Source organism: Homo sapiens, chromosome 2 (genome assembly GCF_000001405.40).
Source record: "Homo sapiens chromosome 2, GRCh38.p14 Primary Assembly".
NCBI lineage: Eukaryota > Metazoa > Chordata > Mammalia > Primates > Hominidae > Homo > Homo sapiens.
The window spans coordinates 80,873,418-80,887,554 of NC_000002.12; the positions used below are offsets into that span (position 1 = coordinate 80,873,418).

At 41.0% G+C, this 14,137-nt stretch overlaps 2 annotated features.

Annotated features, from left to right (window-relative positions):
- Positions 754-1,607: an enhancer, noted in NCBI's record as "OCT4-NANOG-H3K27ac hESC enhancer chr2:81101296-81102149 (GRCh37/hg19 assembly coordinates)". NCBI's record gives its function as "activates a minimal SCP1, AML or CMV promoter by ChIP-STARR-seq in naive H9 embryonic stem cells {active_cell/tissue: H9 hESC(naive)}" and the evidence as "EXISTENCE:reporter gene assay evidence [ECO:0000049][PMID:30033119]".
- Positions 3,092-3,631: an enhancer, noted in NCBI's record as "H3K27ac hESC enhancer chr2:81103634-81104173 (GRCh37/hg19 assembly coordinates)". NCBI's record gives its function as "activates a minimal SCP1, AML or CMV promoter by ChIP-STARR-seq in primed H9 embryonic stem cells {active_cell/tissue: H9 hESC(primed)}" and the evidence as "EXISTENCE:reporter gene assay evidence [ECO:0000049][PMID:30033119]".

Below are 14,137 nucleotides of genomic sequence, written 5' to 3' on the forward strand. Positions count from 1 at the left end.
CCAGTATTGTAAACAGAGTGTATTTTAAAAACAGAGTTGCAAAGTTTTCAAAGGAAACTATGCATTGTTAAGATCCTACCTTTTTAGGTTACCTGATTCTAGTTTTTCATTATCTTTAAGCTAGTTTACATTTCTGTGAATTGCAGCTGATAACAATACAAAAGAATTCTTGTCTATGAACATGCACATTCTGTCAACAGTCTTCCCTTTGCAATGTAGTAGAAACCATTCATGTATTCATTTTAGTATTCTAGATCTAAAATGCCTGTTGAACTAGTTGCAATATCTTACCAGTTGCCTTATTAATAGAGTTACATAAAGTCTTTAGCATATGTTAATTTTCCTATCTGTATGGAAATCATGATTTTACCACTTTTTAAAAATCATCTTTTAACAACAGCATGCCTTGTATGGTGTAGTTTGAGGAAGAAAAATGGTCTGAATTGCCTCCTGTATTTGAAATTGTCACATTACTGACTTCTGTAGTGCAAAGCCATCTATAATGTTGGCAAGATCTCTCTCTTATCAGCAGCTCTCCCATAAGCAGATGGGATGATACCTCCACAGGCTCTTTTCTTGCAACTTCTCTTGGGTTCTCTGCTGCAGTTTCAATTTTCCTTCAAAGTTTCCCCAAGCCTTGGTTCCTAGGGTTGCCCTCACAGAAATTCCTTGTAGCTTCCACTCCAAATATGTACGTGCTGTTGACCCCCCACAGGACTCAGTTCACTCCCCTCCTTGCCCATGAATACATTTGGAATAATATATAAATAGGATGGCTCCTTATTCTCAACTCATACAGCGTGGACGATCTATATCAATTATTTCAAAAATACCCTGCAATAGATAAATAATTATCAACTATTTCAGGCAATATTCTGCAAAAAGAACTAGTATAGGAGAGCTGAAAGGAAAATTAAAAATCATCTCCTTCAGAACCCTCATTGTACAGATGAGGGCACAACTATTTATTACATTCACCGGCAGTTCCATATTTGGGGAGCACTTGACTTATGAATAACTTGTTCTTTTGCGTTGAATTCCTACACCCTCAAAGGGGCAATCTTTTCTGTTCTTTTTTCTCTAGTTCTGATCACCTGGGGAGTGATTGACCTTAGAAGTGTCATTCTTTATGCAAATTAAAAGAAGCTTTCTCTTATTCTTATGCAGATAGGAAGTGAATAGGTCCCTGGATTCCTGTAGTTAATAACTTGCTCTCCTTACTCTGAGGAGAAGCCCTTGTTTGTCCTACTTTCCAGTGAAGTGCTAACATTTTTTAGGTACTCATGTTTTTAGTTATTAGGAATTTCCATTTAACATTTCTAATATATTTTCCTTAGCAAAGTTTTGTGGTGATTAGGTATAGCTAAAATAATACAGAAGTGTTAGATTATAGGCATTTCATGTTTGAGTAGAGCTTTTTGGACTGAATTGAAAATTATTGTAAACTAAATTTAAAATTGAAAACCCTTACCTGCTGAACAGACCTTCTCTTAGCCAAAGGGGACCCCAGAGAAACCATAAAAAGTGAGTTCCTGGACCTGAAGGAAAGCAGATGGAACACACCTCATTATGCCCCTTCCCTTTTGGAGTTTAGGCACAACTACTGACTAGTATTAATGTTAAAACAGTGATCATAAGGCTGACAAAAGAGACTCTTTGTGGCAATAAGATTACAAATTATACACAAGACCTAAGGCATGCAAGTCAAGAGTCAAGTTCCATCTGCAGGCCATCATCCTTGCCACATAACATCCTTATGTTAACTTAAAACAGTCCTTTCTGCTGACTCAAGTTTTAGACAGAGCTTTACTCCTTTATCCTATTGCAAATTAAAGAATCTCTCTATTCACCTATAACCTGAAAGCCCCACTTCAAGATAGCCCACCTTTTCAGGCCAAACCAATGTATACCTTCCATGTATTGGTTTATGTCTTTGCCTGTAATTAACTCCTGCCTCCCTGAAATATATAAAGCCAAAATGTAATTTGGCTGTGTCACTTGTTAATGGCTTCTTGGATTTGTGTTTCTCTGGGCTGTGGTCACTCATATAGACTCAGAATAAACTTCTTTAAAGTGTTTTACAGAGTTTGGTTTTTTGGTTAATATTATCATTAATAACATAGTTTTGTTGGTTTCTTTTTTTATTGAGAGAAGCCTCCTAAATACCAACTATTCTTCGTAAGAAACTTAGAGACAAGTGTTTCTATTCTTTTCCATTCTCTCTTTTTCAATTGTTTTCTTCATTTCTCTAAACTATTTAACTCATTTGTTTCCGATCTCCTCAACTAAATTTCAAGCTTCTTGAGGACAGGGCTGAAAAGTCATCTCAATGTGAGTCTATGCTGCCAGTGCTTAGGGCTGGTTCTTACAGACAGTATGTTTCATGTGCGTCCCTGTGAAGAGACCACCAAACAGGCTTTGTGTGAGCAATAAAGCTGTTTATTTCACCTGGGTGCAGGTGGGCTGAGTCCCAAAAGAGAGTCAGTGAAGGGAGATAGGGGTGGGGCTGTTTTATAGGATTTGGGAAGGTAATGGAAAATTACAGTCAAAGGGGGTTGTTCTCTGGTGGGCAGGGGCGGGGGTCACAAGGTGCTCAGTGGGGGAGCTTCTGAGCCAGGAGAAGGAAATTCACAGGGTTAATCACTCAGTTAAGGTGGGGCAGGAACCAATCACAGTGGTGGAATGTCATCAGTTAAGGCGGGGCAGGGCCTTTTCATTTCTTTTGGGATTCTTCAGTTACTTCAGGCCATCTGGGCGTATACGTGCAAGTCACAGGGGATACGATGGCTTGGCTTGGGCTCAGAGGCCTGACATTCCTGCCTTCTTATATTAATAAGAAAAATAAAACAAAATAGTGTTGAAGTGTTGGGGCAGCGAAAATTTTTGAGGGTGGTATGGAGAGAGAATGGGCGATGTTTCTCAGGGCTGCTTCAAGCGAGATTAGGGGCAGCGTGGGAACCTAGAGTGGGGGAGATTAAGCTGAAGGGAGATCTTGTGGTAAGGGGTGATATTGTGGGGATGTTAGAAGAAACATTTGTCGTATAGAATGATTGGTGATGGCCTGGATATGGTTTTGTATGAATTGAAAAACTAAATGGAATAAGGGAAGGAGAAAAACAGGTATAAAAGGACTAAGAATTGGGAGGACCTAGGACATCTGATTAGAGAGTGCCTAAGGAGATTCAGCATAGTCCTGCCAGCAAAGATTATTTATTTACTTCAAGAGTTTAGAGTGGCAGTTTGGGGATAGCACCAGGAGATATCAGCTGTGATGGCTTGGAGAAACAGTGTAAACCGGCAGTGTAAACAAGAGCAGGGCATGTATGAGTAGTTGAGAACGATGAATAGTAGTATGACTAACAGATGAGGATGAAATTTGGGCTTGACTGAAGTAATGGGGGCTGTCTGTGAAGCCTTGCGGCAGTACAGCCCAGGTAATTTGCTGAGCCTAATGGGTGTCAGGGTCAGTCTAAGTGAAGGCAAAGAGAGGTTGGGATGAAGGGTGCAAAGGAATAGTAAAGAAAGCATGTTTGAGATCTAGAACAGAATAATGGGTTGTAGAGGCAGGTATTGAGGATTGGACAGTATATGGGTTTGGCACCATGGGGTGGATAGGCAAAACAATTTGGTCGATAAGGCGCAGATTCTGAACTAACTTGTAAGGCTTGTCTGGTTTTAGGACAGGTAAAATGGGGGAATGGTAAGGAGAGCTTATACGCTTTAAAAGGCCATGCTGTAGCAGTTGAGTGATAACAGGCTTTAATCTTTTTAAAGCATGCTGCGGGATGGGATATTGGCGTTGAGTGGGGTAAGGGTGATTAGGTTTTAATGGGATGGTAATGGACATGTGATCGGTTGCCAGGGAAGGAGTAGAGAAGTCCCATATGTGTGGGTTAAGGTGGGGGGATATGAGAGGAAGACGCGAAGGAGGCTTTGGGTTGGGGAGAAGGGCGGCAATGAGATATAGCTGTAGTCCAGGAATAGTCAGGGAAGCAGATAATTTAGTTAAAGTGTCTCAGCCTAATAAGGGAACCGGGCAGGTGGGGATAATTAAAAGGAGTGCTTAAAAGAGTATTGTCTAAGTTGGCACCAGAGTTGGGGAGTTTTAAGAGGTTTAGAAGCCTGGCCGTCAATACCCACAACAGTTCTGGAGGCAAGGGAAACGGGCCCTTGAAAAGAAGGTAATGTGGAGTGGGTAGCCTCCGTATTAAGAAGGGGATGGGCTTACCTTCCACTGTGAGAGTCACCTGAAGCTCGGCGTCCGTGATGGTCTAGGGGGCTTCCGAGGCGATCAGGCAGCGTCAGTCTTCAGCCGCTAAGCCGAGAAGATCTGGGAAGGAGTCAGTCAGAGAGCCTTGGGCCAGAGTTCCAGGGGCTCTGGGAGTGGCTGCCAGATGAGTTGAACAGTCCGCTTTTCAGTGGGGTCCTACACAGATGGGACGTGGCTTAGGAGGAATCTCGGGCTGTGGGCATTCCTTGGCCCAGTGGCCAGATTTCCGGCACATGTAGCAAGCTCCTGGGGGAGGAGGTTCTGGAGGAACGCCTGGCTGCTGCGGTTCAGGCGTTTGGAAGTTCTTGTGTGCTGGAGATGTGGCTGGGGTTTATCTCACAGTGGAGGCAAGGAATTGCAACTTTTTTCTGTTATTGTACACATTGAAGGTGAGGTTAATTAAGTCCTGTTGTGGGGTTTAATGGCCAGATTCCAATTTTTGGAGTTTTATTTAATGTCGGGAGCAGATTGGGTAATAAAATGCATTTTGAGAATAAGACGGCCTTTAGACCTCTTAGGGTCTAGGGCTGTAAAGCGTCTCAGGGTTGCTGCCAAACAAATCATGAACTGGGCTGGATTTTTATATTTGATGAAAAAGAGCCTAAACGCTATCTGATTTGGGATAAAGAGAAAGGAGCATTAACCTTGACTATGCCTTTAGCTCCAGGCACCTTTTTAAGAGTAAATTGCTGGGCAGGTGGGGGAGGGCTAGTCACGGAACAAAACTGTAAGCCGGACCAGGTGTGGAGGGGAGGTGATAAAAAGATTACAGGGTGGAGGAGCAGAGGCTGAGGAAGAATTGGGACCTAGCTTGGCCTGGCGAGGAGGGGAGAGGTCAGATGGGTCTGTAGAAAAGGAAGATTAGAAAGACTCTGCGACGCTTGGGGTTGGGACTGAGGGGACAGGAGGGAGGGAAAGAAGGAAGATTTGGGACGAGTTGCACTGGGCACAGAGACTAGGAAGGGACTGATGTGTAAAAGAATGCCTGGACGTCAGGCACCTCAGACCATTTGCCCATTTTATGACAAGAATTATTTAGATCTTGTAGGATGGAAAAATTGAAAGTGCCATTTTCTGGCTATTTGGAACTACTGTCGAGTTTGTATTGGGGTCAAGCGGCATTGCAGAAGAAAATAAGACGCTTTGATTTTAGGTCAGGTGACAGTTGAAGAGGTTTTAAGTTCTTAAGAATACAGGCTAAGGGAGAAGAAGGAGGAATGGAAGGTGGAAGCTTGCCCATAGTGAAGGAGGCAAGCCCAGAGAAAAGAGTAGAGACACAGAGAAGGGGTGAGGGGTTCTTGCCCTCCAGAAAAGCAGAGAAAGGGTTGGGGCATGGAAATAAGGAATTGGGGCACAGAGATAAGAGGTCGGGGTGTGGAAATAAGGGATTGGGGCACAGAGATAAGAGGTTGGGGTGCAGAAATAAGTGATTGGGGGGTTCTTGCCCCCTAGGAAAGTGGGACTTGCCACTAAGGGTGAAGGAGAAGGGGTTGAGGGGTACTGGCCCCTGCCCCAGTAAAGCAGAGAAGGGGTAGAGACAAGGAGAGAAGGGGTTAGGGTACTTGCCCCTTCCCCAGAAAAGCAGAGAAGGGGTAGAGACAAGGAGAGAAGGGGTTGGGGTACTTGCCCCTTCCCCAGAAAAGCGGGACTTGCCACTAAGGGCGAAAGACCAAGGCAGGCATCCCTGCGTGGTCTGACACCTTTGAAACGTGGGTAAATAATCAGAGAGGTGTCCCTGCAATAATTAAACACCAAGGGAAGGCTGCCTTCCTGAGTCCGTGACCGGCACCAGAGTTTTGGGTCCACGGATAAAATGTGTCTCCTTTGTCTCTACCGGAAAATGAAGGGAATTGAAATTAAGAGAAGGGAGAGATTGAAGTGTGGCGCCAAGATTGAAAGGAGAAGGAGGTTGAGGGATAGTGAGGGAGGTTGGAGAAGAGAGTAAAAAGAGGCTGCTTACCGGATTTGAAATTGGTGAGATGTTTCTCGGGCTGGTCGGTCTGAGGACCTGAGGTCGTAGGTGGATCTTTCTCAGGGAGCAAAGAGCAGGAGGACGGGGGATTGATCTCCCAAGGGAGGTCCCCCGATTCGAGTCACGGCACCAAATTTCATGCACGTCCGTGTGAAGAGACCACCAAACAGGCTTTGTGCGAGCAATAAAGCTGTTTATTTCACCTGGGTACAGGTGGGCTGAGTCCAAAAAGAGAGTCAGCGAAGGGAGATGGGGTGGGCAGGGGCGGGGGTCACAAGGTGCTCAGTGCGGGAGCTTCGGAGCCAGGAGAAGGAAATTCACAGGGTTAATCACTCAGTTAAGGTGGGGCAGGAACAAATCACAATGGTGGAATGTCATCAGTTAAGGCGGGGCAGGGCTTTTTCACTTCTTTTGTGATTCTTCAGTTACTTCAGGCCATCTGGGCGTATACGTGCAAGTCACAGGGGATACGATGGCTTGGCTTGGGCTCAGAGGCCTGACAGTATGCAGCATGGTGAGTAGTATGTAGATAAAATATATGGTTGGTATCTAGGTGCAATAGCTGTTCTGGGTCATTAGTAGATTATATAGACGAGGATAAAGTATAGAGCTCATTTAGTAGAGTCAACTGGAGAAAAGTGCTCAACTTGAGTGTGAGAGGGCCAGGCCAAGGCAGGGCCGGGGTGAGGCAGAGGCACTGGTAGAGAGAGGTACAGTGGGTGGTTCCCCAGCAGGTAGAAGGCCCTAATGTTGACTGTAAGAGACAGAAAAGGTAAAGGAAAGTCTAAGAAGCAAAATGGGATTTGGAAGGCAGAAAAGGCAGGGTGCTACCTGCTTCAAATTGTATTAAAGAAATTCTCTAGTTTGTGAACATTTTGGGTGTTCACTGAGGGAAACCATATGCCTTTGAATACATGAAAAATATTTTCAGAGATGATGTAGAGCCATCATATAAAACTTTATGACCATCAAAGAATTTTCTTATGACTAAAGGAGAGGCTATAGGAATATCTCCACCAATTCTGAGTTATATATGAAGATTAGAGGGTAATCTTTCTTTAGGAATTAAATGTTTAAATCCTCTGACTTCTGAATTATTGCCAGTGTTTAAAGTGGTGCAATGGAGACTTTGGTGCTGTGACTATGGGGTTAACAGTACTTCCCTATTTCTGACAGTAGGAATTCCATTGGAAAGGAAATTGATTAGTATCTGCATGAAGTTCTGCTAGTCTGAGAGTTTATCTCCTTGCAAATAGTGTTTACATTTTTAAAATCTTTCTTAGATGTAGCCCTTACCAGAATGAATTGTACCAGAATGAATTGTTTCTATGGCTGCTCTTCGGGACCACTTCTTACATACACATCATAGAGCACACATAGCACACGTGCACTACACACACCATACACATACCTCATCCTCCACATACCACATACACACACCATACACCACATACACACACACACACACACACACACACACACACGGCTACCCATTTCAACCTATGAAACTGACATGTCCGTATTAGATAAGGGGAGTAATAGTTCTTTGGAACTCAGGGTTTATTTGAGCAACATTTACTAAGGAGTTCATTGCTGTAGATTAAAAAATTAGTTGTTGGCTGACCTAGAAGTACAATCTCAGTCTTCCTTTTCTTAGACCAAGACTATTAATAATAATAAAATAATTTATTATATGCAGTGTTCACAATAATTTACCACAAAATTCTAGCTACCTTTATTGAGCCCTTACTATATGACAGATTCATTTGAGGTATTTATAGATATGATATATACATTTCAGATATATTTGGAAAATATGTATATATGCATGTGTGTGTATATATATATATATACACACACTAATATATCTAGATCTCTCTCTCTCTCTCTATATATATATATATACACACACATACACACACACACACACACACACACACACACTAATTTGATCCTCATAGAACCTTTCTGAGCTAGGCACTAATACTATCCGCATTTTATTTATTTATTTATTTTTTATTTTTATTTTTTATTATTATACTTTAAGTTTTACGGTACGTGTGCACATTGTGCAGGTTAGTTACATATGTATACATGTGCCATGCTGGTGCGCTGCACCCACTAAATCGTCATCTAGCCTTAGGTATATCTCCCAATGCTATCCCTCCCCCCTCCCCCCACCCCACCACAGTCCCCAGAGTGTGATATTCCCCTTCCTGTGTCCATGTGATCTCATTGTTCAGTTCCCACCTATGAGTGAGAATATGCGGTGTTTGGTTTTTTGTTCTTGCGATAGTTTACTAAGAATGATGATTTCCAATTTCATCCATGTCCCTACGAAGGACATGAACTCATCATTTTACTATCCCCATTTTAAAGACGAAGTAATTGAGCACAGAGAACTAATTAACTTGCCCAGGGTTTTACTGAGAGCTAGGCACGGCTCATATCTTACTTAATTATTACAACAAGCTTATAAGAAAGGAATTTAAGCCCTCTTTGCAAAAGAGAAACCATAGATGCTCGTGATTAAATAAACTACTCAAGGTCACCCAATCAAGTCAGGGCTTGAATCCTGGTTGTCCTAGTTCCTAACCCAATGTATTTTCCCATATCTTAACAGACCAAAATGATTTGATCAAAGCTGGTAGAAAGTGCGTCAGCCATCCCTAGAATTGACTTCCTGTGGACGTGGGTAACATTCTGGAGTCAACATCAGAACAAACGGCCTGAAAAAATTCATATAAACTTTTGAGAAACTAAGCATCCTTCTGGCCTTCAGGATCTGTAGTTATCATATATTTGGTGAGCATTCCTTCACTGTGCTTATTTTGTAGAAGTCAGGTGCTTGGTTCACCATAAGGCCAAATGTTGCCTTTAATTAACAACTTAAAATAGATTTCACAGCCTCCTTCTGCTGACAGAGAGTTCCTCCCTTGTGAACTCCTACAATCTGGGCCCAGGAAAAATGGGGCTGTAGGGCATATACCTCTGTCTGAAGGGAACTATTTTGCAAGTAAGCACTCCATTATTTATTATAACATGGCCAGCCATGCCAATTGCAAATTAAGTGCTGAAGATATATTATTTCTGCAATGACTATGTCCATACCCTTTAGTTTAATGACAAAGTAAAGTACATTTGTCTTTTAGTTAAATTAGAGACAAAAATTAACTTAATTGTCATTAAACAAATAAAGACTTGAAGCCATCAGCCAGCTAAATGTGACCAAAAATTATTTTGACTTGAAATAACTTGATAATTGAGAACAGAAAAACGTTATTTGAAGAGTGCTTGAATGATCTAGGTAATAACTTCAATTCTTCATTCTTCTTTTCTCATGTAGACATGACTCCACTGTATAGGGTTTTTTTACTATAATAAATGAAATCCTATTTAATATTTTTTCTTCTCTTTTAGTAAAAAAAAAATAAGGCGAGGAATTTCCATTTTTATCTGACCCTTCAGTTTGCCTGCTCTCACAGCAAACAGAAGGGCATTAAGTCCTAGGGATTTAGTAATAAGATTAAAATAAGGAGAAATGAATGGAAGAATCATTTAGACCAAAGCCCTGTCTGCAGGCAGCTCCATGCATAAACCATGCCAGGAAATCAGGATTTCTATATTATTATTAATGACCTCTAAAGAAAGAGATTTTTCACCTTTTAAAGTGGCTTTTCACAGTATTAGGCTAAAAGGATATGTTTAAAGCTTCTTTTAGCTGCACAACTTGAAAACATATCTAGAAAGCCAGAGTTGACATGAAAGTGAGGGATCCTGAGCCCTGTTCTATCAATGTGCCTTTGACCATTGTGGTCATCCAAATACTTTCTGAGAGCCTGTAAGGAATGAAGAGCTGGCCTGAGATTCGCTATGCAACCAAGAAGGATTTAACTGTCTGGCAGAGTTTTGTTTCTTAAATTGAATGGTGGAAACATAGGCATTTCTTCTATTATTTTATAATAAATTTTGTATACTTTAAATATTGTATTTTTAAAAAGTCAACACCCTCTTTCACACACACCAAACATGGTGACCTCTAGCAAACTGTGCTATTGTGATCTCAAGTTCTAGCCACTCTTATTGTCCTTCTAGCATATCCCTAGCACTCTCTTAAGCTCAGCTCAAGTGTCATATTCTTCAGAAGATAAAAAGTCAAGATATTTGGGTGCCCTAATCTACTATTTAGGTGAGCTAACATATCTGAAACTCTTGCTGGAATGCTTGGCTCATAGCAGGATCTCAATAAATTTTTGTTTCTCTATTTCTTCCATTCTCTTTTCCTTGTGTCTCAGCAAAGCACCTCCTTTCTGTGTTCCCTAGATGTGTTTACTCTACCGTTGATATATTGATGGTAAGTTATGGCGTACATGTCTGCTGCTTCCCTTTCTCTTTCTTTTGCCTCCATCTACAAGCAGTGACTTTCTTGGGAGCAGGGACAGTACTTTTCATCTGTGCTAGTCCAGCACTGAGCACAGCACAAAGAGTAAAGTTGGTGGAATAAACCAACAACAAGAACAACGACAACACGTATGTGAGGACCAGATCTGAAGCAAACTGAAGGAGTTTTCTATTAGGAAAGAAACCTGAAGCAAGGAGAAAAGGAGCGATAGATGTTTCAATTTTTATTACACATTCAGTGAGGGCTAGGCAGTTTTCATATGTCATATCATTCACCTCCATGCCAGTCTAGTGAAGTAGACATTACAATTATTCCCATTTTTAGGATTGGAAAATGGAGATCAGGTAGGTTAATTATCTTGTGCAAAATCAGATGATTCATAATCAGTAAAACTAAAATGTTAACCCAAATTTGACTCATGCTTTCTTTTATAATGTACTATTTCCTGGTATATCAGAAAGACTCTTGATATATAGACTACAGACAAGCCCCTTCCTATGCTTGCGTTACTCCATTTTTCATTGCTATAAAAAAAATACCCGAGACTGGGTAATTAATAAAGAAAAGAGGTTTATTTGGCTTACAATTCTGCAGGCTGTACAAGTATGGCACCAGCATCTGCTTCTGGTCAGGCTACGGGAAGCTTACAATCATGGTGAAAGGCAAAGGCGGGAGCAGGCATATCACATAGTGAGAAAGGGTGCAAGACAGAGAGAAAGAGGTGCCAGGGTCCTTTGAATAACCAGCTTTCATGTGAACTAACCGAGCGAGAACTCACTCATTACCACAGGGAGGTCAGCAAACCATTCAGGAGGGCTCTGCCCCTGTGACCCAAATGCCTCTTGCAAGGCCTCACCTCCAGCATGGGGAATCACATTTCAACATGGGATGTGGAGAAGAAAAATATCCAAACTATGTCAGTGCCTTTCTTGAGACAGCTTCAAACCTCTCGGGCAGTAATAAGGGGCAGTTGAGACAACACATTACCCCAGCCACTACAAGTGTTATCTCTTAATCACACTACCTTCAAGAGAAAGCATCCTGCCACCACTCAGTTCAGCAGTGAGTCCCACAGATGAAGAAGGTGAAGCAATGTGAGCCTGATTTATTTTCACTGCAGAATCCCTGAGAATAGGAGAAATAACAGATATGCTTAGAACATAGAAGCCCTCATGCGTGCAGTCTCGAATATGTGAATTTATAGAATCAAACACCTTTCTTTTGTTTCCTGTCTTTATAACACTCATGCTCCTGCCATGCATCACACTAATTTTTCAGTCCGGTTTACCCTGGAGCTGTATTAATCTAGTTTATCTAATTCCCTTTCAGGATCTAAGGCAGGAGTTTACAAATTATGGCCTGAAAGCTAAGAATTAATTTTGTATTTTTAAATAGCTAAAAAAAAAAGAAAAATAATACTTCGTGGTACATGAAAATTATATGAAATTTAAATGTCAGTGTCCATGATTAGTTTCATTATAGCCACACCTTTTTGTGTCTGTAGTATATGTGGCTGCTTTTATGTTACGTTGGCAGAGATGGGTAGTTGCAACAGAGACTTTATGACCTACACAGCCTAAAATATTGACTATCTCACCCGATATAAGAGTTTGCTGACCCCTGCTATAAAGAACAGTTAGGGATTCATTTCTCCAGACAACTAAATTTGGTATTCTCTCACACCCTCTTTTGTCGTTATTCTAGTGGGAGTAGGTTTTCTTTCAAGTGTCTGTAACTGTATAATGCTTTTGTAATCATAACAATGTGAGAGCTATAGTCACTTTTGTTATATCATGTGAATGTCAATGTTGTTAAGGCAACTTATTTGTGCTTTTTGTGTTTATTCCCCCACTCTTTTGTACTTTTTTTTGCTTTTTGGCAGAAGCCTCTTCTCTGAGATTAGGTTTTCCTTTTTCTCCACCTATTTCTCAAGCACCATTAAGCCTAATTTTATTTTGTATTTGACTCTCTACCATGGATGGGATAGAAGAAGTCAACCGTCCCTGGAGTTCACCGTTCAAATCTTGGGCGTTCATTTAAGAGGACCAATGGCAAAGTAGAGATGACTCCGTGGAGCACATTCCCTGGAAACTGCACTGTAGGAAATACTTGGAGGAAAGTTCATCTCTTAGCCTGGGACATCTACTAGTTTCCCAGGGCTGCCATAATAAAGTTCCGCAGTCTTAGGGACTTTAAGTAATAAAAGTTTTTCTCACAGCTCTGGAGAAAAAGTTACAGAAGATTCCTATTTGAATAAAGCAGACTTTTCTAACAATAACAATGAGCTTTATTATCCCGATTGCAGGGTGATGAGCTCCAGACTGAGTAGGGATATGTCAAAAACACGGTAGAAGCTATTGCTATATCAAATTGGCCTCCTCTCAGCTTTAAATTCTTTTGTATCCTATTGCTCCCTTCTAGGCACAACTTAGCACAGATACATTTGAAAAAATATATCCCAAAAATTATTTCCTTCCTTCCTTCCTTTCCTCCCTCCCTTCCTTCTTTCCTTCTTTTATTTCTAGAACCAAAAATTGCATTTCTTTTGTGCAGAACTTTATTCATTACAATATTTGCACTCAGATGAAAGAAACATATTTGGTGATAGATGAAAAGGAAAGTAATTTATATTGTCTTTATTCCAATATCATTTAGCATGTTCAATTTACATGAATTATTTGGCTAGAACTCTCAATTTTTTTTTCTGAGTTAAGAATGATCATAGATTTAATCATATATAAGTACTTTATGAAATGAATTAATTTTGTTTTGATTCTGTTAATTTTAATACATTTAAATGGCCAACCTCAGGAGACAGAGGGGGACAAAGCATTAAGAATTAATTGGCAAGATGAGGTATGGCTGGCTTATGTATGTGGCTGGGGTCTGAAGCTCAGTAAAAGTTGTCCTTAAGTAATATATTTCATATCTACTGGATTCAATGTGTATAAACCAAAATGTGTCTGTGACATTGATGGCCCAGTGTGTGCCTATTCTAGGAAACAGTTTGGAAAAATGTTTCTGTAAAGAGCCATATAGTAAATACCTTAGGCCTTGAGAGTTACATATGTATAATATTTGTCATGGATTCTTTGTTTCTTTCTTACCCCTCCTCTTCTTCTGCTTCTACAACAACCCTTTACAATTTAAAATTTATTTTTACCTTAAAGACTTTACAAAATCTTGGTCTGTAGTTTGCTGACCGCTATTCTAGGCATTTCATTTTTCTTTCTTTCTTTTTTTGTCAAGACAGAGTCTTGCTCTGTCACCCAGGCTAGAGTGCAGTGGTATGATGTTGGCTCATTGCAAGCTTCACCTCCCAGGTTCAACCAATTCTCCTGCCTCAGCTTCCTGAGTAGCTGGGATTACAGGTGCCTGCCATCACACCCAGCTAATTTTTGTATTTTCAGTAGAGACTGTGGTCTCACCATGTTGGCCAGGCTGGTCTCGAACTCCTGACCTCGTGATTCGCCTGCCTCGGCCTCCCAAAGTG